Raw genomic sequence first — 5,136 nt, 5'->3', positions numbered from 1 at the left:
TTTCTCATAATTCATTTTTAATGTTTTACATATGAACTGGTCTGTGATGAATTGGACATTTTTAAGAAGTGGTCCTTCCCCATGGACAGCTTGGGAGACAATGGTCTAAGGTGGGTGACTGAGATCAGAGGGAAGTAAAAATCACTGGAGGTGAAAAACAGGGGGTTTGGGAGCATCACAGTCCATGCCGAAATCCCTGGTTATGGTGCCACACACAGGGAGGAGGTGAGGGCAGTAGGAGCCCTGTTTGTGTTCAGGGCCCTGGGGAAGCAGGTGCTGAGGAGGCAGGAGGGAGTCAGAGCTCAGGTGCCTTAAGATCGTGGTATCAGCTGCTTCCAAAAGGGGTATTCCTGTCCATCAACCTCCACGTTAGCATGAGGCTTACAAACCTTGCACACAGTTGCCACTAAGGACAGCCTCCTGTGCTTTCCCTGGACAACACTGCTCCAAGGAGAGTGCTCCAAGGGCCTGACAGCCTGACTTCTGTCAGGGACTTGGCAAATAGAAACCCAACCTGTGCAAGCCCCAGTTGGCTCCTGATGGTTGAATGAAAGAGCATGGCCTCAGACACAACTGTCTTCCAAGAGAGTGCCCAGATTCTTCAGGAAAGTGAAGCCCATACCCTTCTGATTCCAAGCTCAGGAGACAGGAATGATGCCAGGGCTGTGGAGTGAGACATCTGGCTCTGCACACGAGGACAGCCTTGGGCTGCAATTTCTAATTTGCATGTAAAGGCAGCAGCATATGGCCACTGTCAGTCCTCACAGGGGCCATAGTCCCTGCTGGGGCAGGGAGAGGGGAACGAGGAAGTACTTACGCTGAAGTCTTTCCCCACGTAGAGAAGCAGAGAAAGAGTGGGGTATGAATCCAAGGGGTCCCTGTGGTGAGGGGAATCACTGAGACTCACACAACCTGGTCAGACATTTATTAGGGTAGTGCAGCCTGTTCTCCATGCCCCAGGCCTTTCAGATTGATAGGATTTCAATGTGGAACTCTGGCTGCTTTGAAGGGATTGCATATTGGACCTGTAAAAAGCCATCAGTCTGGAAGGCAAGGCTGCTCTCTGGGACCTGGAACAAGCAGAGAGCATTGCACATTTGGCGGTAACATTGCCGGCACTGCCACATGCGGATGCAGGACTGGAGCTTGACCGTCGCCTGCTCCTGGATGACGTAGACCCTCAACAGGGCCTGCCGCCGCTGACGGATCCGTCTCTGCACCAACGTCCTCCACCAGCACTGAATCATCCAGGCCCTGAGGGCAGCAACCAGCAGGGTCCTGCGCACCAGGACCCCACGCCACCAGGCCTGGATCTGCCCAGCTGCCTTCACCCTTTTTCTGTGATGCAGTTGTGCAAGAAGCAACTGGCCAAGCAAAGCAGAGGACTCCCAGTGAATTTATCACCATCAAGCACAGGTGGTTCTCTAAAGAATCAGCCCTCTCCCTGCTGGTTTTGAGGACCCAGGAGACCTGGGTGGGGTTTGTCCTCTACTTCTGTCCTGTTCATGGCTCTGGACACCCTCACAGTCCCAGTGCCCTCATCTATGAAATCGGGATATGTTTGATCTGTGGACTTCTCGGGTTTATGGGACTAGCGGAGACACTTTCTGGTCCAGAAGACCCAACTGGAAGACCAGGGTGTGAGGAACTGAAGGATTCTTATAAGAATCCATGAACCTCTGCATTTATGGCCTGTGTCTTGGTCCAAACTCCAGCCATGATGCTGCCTCCTAATGTCTTGCGTGGTGCTGCAGCCCTTTGGGGTCTCCCCTCATCTCACTTTTGTGGACTTCCACTACCATGTCTCAGTCCCTCCTCATTCTCCTGGGCCTTTCCACTTCCTGTGCTGAGCCCCACCTATCAGGTGGCTGTGCGCACGAAACTTCCTCCCCTTTTACTGTCTATCTCCATACCTTACTCAGTTCACCAAGGAGAGGGAGGGCTTGAGGGGATAAGAGGGCAATGCTGAGCCAGAGATGGATCTCCATTCTAAGAACTCTGGGATCAAAGAGTCAATGATCTGCAATTCTCTCACCCTCCTGGGCCCCACCTACCTTCTGCCGCCTCTGTCTTTCTACTGCATCTTCATCTGGACCACCTTTCTGCAATCGGAATATGGGTGTGGGGGAGCATGGGTGAGGACCAGCCTGACTGCAAAGTCCCCACAGGCCCAGTTCCCCATTCTTTGCCTGGGTCCTAAGAAGTGGCCTGGTGCTTTCCTGGGCCATGGGACAACTCCCACCCCTGGGGGAGTTTGTGTGCCTGAGTCTTACACAGCATTTACTGCCCATGGTTTGGAGCAGTGGTTCAGGTGATCATCTCCCTCTGGTTGCTGTTTCCTGATCTTGGCAGGGGCAGGAAAGGTGGAGAAAGAGATGGCCGTGATGTCACAAAGGCAACTATGACCAGGGGCCACAGTGCCTTTTCCAGGCTCAAAGTTGATGGATAAAGAGAAAATACCTGGCTCTCCTGTTGACTTCCTTGGGCAACTCTCTGTTGAGGAAAAATTGTGCAAATATCATTTCTCAGATTGTCATCTGCCTGTTAACTTTTTTCATGGTTGCCTTTCCTTCCACAGTTATCTTTAATTTTTGATATGCTCAAATCCATTGCCCCTTTACAATTCTGCTTTTGTAGTTTTCTAATAAAGTGCTTTTCCATCCAGGATCATAGATTTTTCTATTAGATTCTGGTCTACCTTTTACATTAAGGTGTTTTAACATTTAATGTAAATGTTTTTATAAGACATTTACAATTAGAAATGACAAAGGGGATGTTACCACGGACCCCACAGAAATAAAAATAACCATCAGAGACTATGCACACAAACTAGAAAACCTAGAAGAGATGGATAAATTCCTGGACACATACACCCTCCCGAGACTGAAGCAGGAAGAAATTGATTCCCTGAACAGACTAATAATGAGCTCTGAAATTGAATTAGTAGTAAATAGCTTACCAACAAAATAAAGCGCAGGACAAGAAGGATCCACAGCTGAATTCTATCAGATGAACAAAGAAGAGCTGGTCCCATTCCTACTGAAACTATTCCAAAAAATTGAGGAGGAAAGGCCCCTCCCCAGCTCATTCTATGAGGCCAGCATCATCCTGATACCAAAACCTGGCAACAACAAAACTTTAGGTCAATATCCTTGACAAACATTTATGCAAAAATCCTTAACAAAGTACTTGCAAACTGAATCCAGCAGTTCATCAAAAAGCTAATCCACCACGATCAAGTAGGCTTCATCCCTGGAATGCAAGGTTGGTTCAACATATGCAAATCAATAAAATGTGATTAATCACATAAACAGAATTACAGACAAAAACCACATGATTATCTTAATAGATTCAGGAAAAGCTTTTGATGAAATTCAACATCTCTTCATGTTAAAAACTCTCAATAAACTAGGTACTGAAGGGACATAACCTCAAAATAATAAGAGCCATATATGACAAACCCACAGCCAACATCATACTGAACAGACAAAAGCTGAAAGCATTCCGCTTGAAAACTGGCACAAGACAAGGATGGCCTCTCTCACCACTCCTATTCAACATGGTATTGGAAGTCATCTTGTAGCTTCAGAACATCAAGGAAAAAGAAGATCCTAAAAGTTTCCAGAAAGAAAAAAAAATAGGTCACATCCCACAAACAAAGGAATCAGAGTGATAAAAGACATTATATTAGTCGGTTCTTGCACTGCTATAAAGAAATACCTTTAAAAAAAGAAAAAAAAATACCTGAGACTGGGTAATTTATAAAGAAAAGAGGTTTAATTGTCTCACAGTTCTGCAGGCTGTCCAGGACTCATAGTGGCTTAGTAAACCAACATAGGAACAGGAAACCAAGTACCACATATTCTCACTTAGAAGCGGGAACTGAATAATGAGAATTATTATGGACACAAAGGGAAACAACAGACACTGGGGACCATTTGAGGGTGGAGGGTGGGAGGAGGGAGAGGAGCAGAAAAGTAACTATTGAGTACTAGGTTTAGTACCTGGGTGATGAAATAATCTGTACAACAAACCCCTATGACACGAGTTTATCTATATAACAAACCTACACATATACCCCTGAACCTAAAATAAAAGTTAAAAACCAAAACCAAAACTAAAAACCACCAACAAAAAAGAACTTCATGTACCTTGTTTAAAAAAACTTACAATGATAAATTAATTATAAAAATTATGAATAATTATAATCTAGCATTTATAAAAATTATAAACATAATTATAAATTAATTATAAAAATTGTAATTAATAAAAAAGGACAGTATGCATTTCCTGTCTTATTCTCTCCCAAAAGAATCTCCCATCACTGAGACAACTATTTTTAACTCTTCTGTATATTTCTCCTATGATTTACCTCTATAACATGCTATATTGAAAATTATTTTCTCTTTTAGATATTACCTCTTGACTTCTTTTCATGAAGTGAAGATTTACCTGTTCCCATCCTTCTGCTCTCCTCTCTATATGATTATAGCATCACAGTTTTTGGTTCAATAAGCATTCAGGGCTTCCATCATTGTGATTATATCCTGTCCATGGCTTAGCAACATGGCATATTGCTGTGACATAGCCTTTCATGCATTTCCTGTCTGTTTTTCCTGGAGCTCTTGATTGCCATGGTTTGTACTAATTTATCCCAAACTTTCCACCAAAACTTGGATAATCCGTCAACTCTGCTTTTTTCATGGACCGCTGCACCACTGTGTAATCTGGGTAGCTGCTCTTCAAGCCTGCTGCCTGGTCATTCTTCTGGGGTACCCTCACCCCAGCATCCTAGGAATTTCTTTCCCTTCTTCCCTGTGAGGACTCTCCTACTTACTGGATCCCACGTGTTGCAGGCACAGTTTTACTGGGGATGCAGAGCCACTCTGGATGCTATGGGATAAGGAATTCATAATAGGAATTAGAACATATGCGATTGTGCAAGCATCTGGGGAAAAGAGGGTACTACATTCTAGATAGAAAATTACTTTTTGTTCCTTTCCTTTTTTTTTTTCCTTTTCTTTTGCTTTTTTGAGAGAGGATCTCTCTCTGTCACCCAGGCTGGAGTGTAGGAACACAAGCACAGCTCACTGGAGCCTCGACCTCCCAGGCTTAGTGAACTCAACCAATTTTCCC

The 5,136-nt window shown here is 44.7% G+C and overlaps 1 protein-coding gene across 3 annotated transcripts; it reads right to left on the bottom strand.

Moving 5' to 3' along the window:
- Positions 1–910: 910 nt before the first annotated feature.
- IQCF3 (IQ motif containing F3) lies at positions 911–4,884 on the bottom strand. Of its 3 annotated transcripts, none has more exons than NM_001085479.3 (7): positions 4,420–4,884; positions 3,546–3,611; positions 2,960–3,121; positions 2,461–2,493; positions 2,274–2,344; positions 2,055–2,102; positions 911–1,364 (listed from the first exon to the last, which is right to left on the bottom strand). In NM_001085479.3, exons 5-7 carry the CDS (start codon positions 2,289–2,291, stop codon positions 966–968), a joined length of 465 nt encoding a protein of 154 aa, NP_001078948.1. In that variant the 5' UTR covers positions 2,292–2,344; positions 2,461–2,493; positions 2,960–3,121; positions 3,546–3,611; positions 4,420–4,884; the 3' UTR covers positions 911–965. The 3 variants fall into 3 exon arrangements, with proteins under 3 accessions (NP_001078948.1, NP_001193952.1, NP_001380816.1); NM_001207023.2 differs by having other exon boundaries at positions 4,453–4,884; NM_001393887.1 differs by lacking the exons at positions 2,461–2,493; positions 2,960–3,121; positions 3,546–3,611; positions 4,420–4,884 and having other exon boundaries at positions 2,274–2,341.
- Positions 4,885–5,136: the final 252 nt, after the last annotated feature.

The sequence above is a fragment of the Homo sapiens genome, chromosome 3 (genome assembly GCF_000001405.40).
Source record: "Homo sapiens chromosome 3, GRCh38.p14 Primary Assembly".
Classification (NCBI taxonomy): Eukaryota; Metazoa; Chordata; class Mammalia; order Primates; family Hominidae; genus Homo; species Homo sapiens.
The sequence above is the reverse complement of the archived record's forward strand: the minus strand, read 5'-3'. Positions and strand labels throughout refer to the sequence as shown.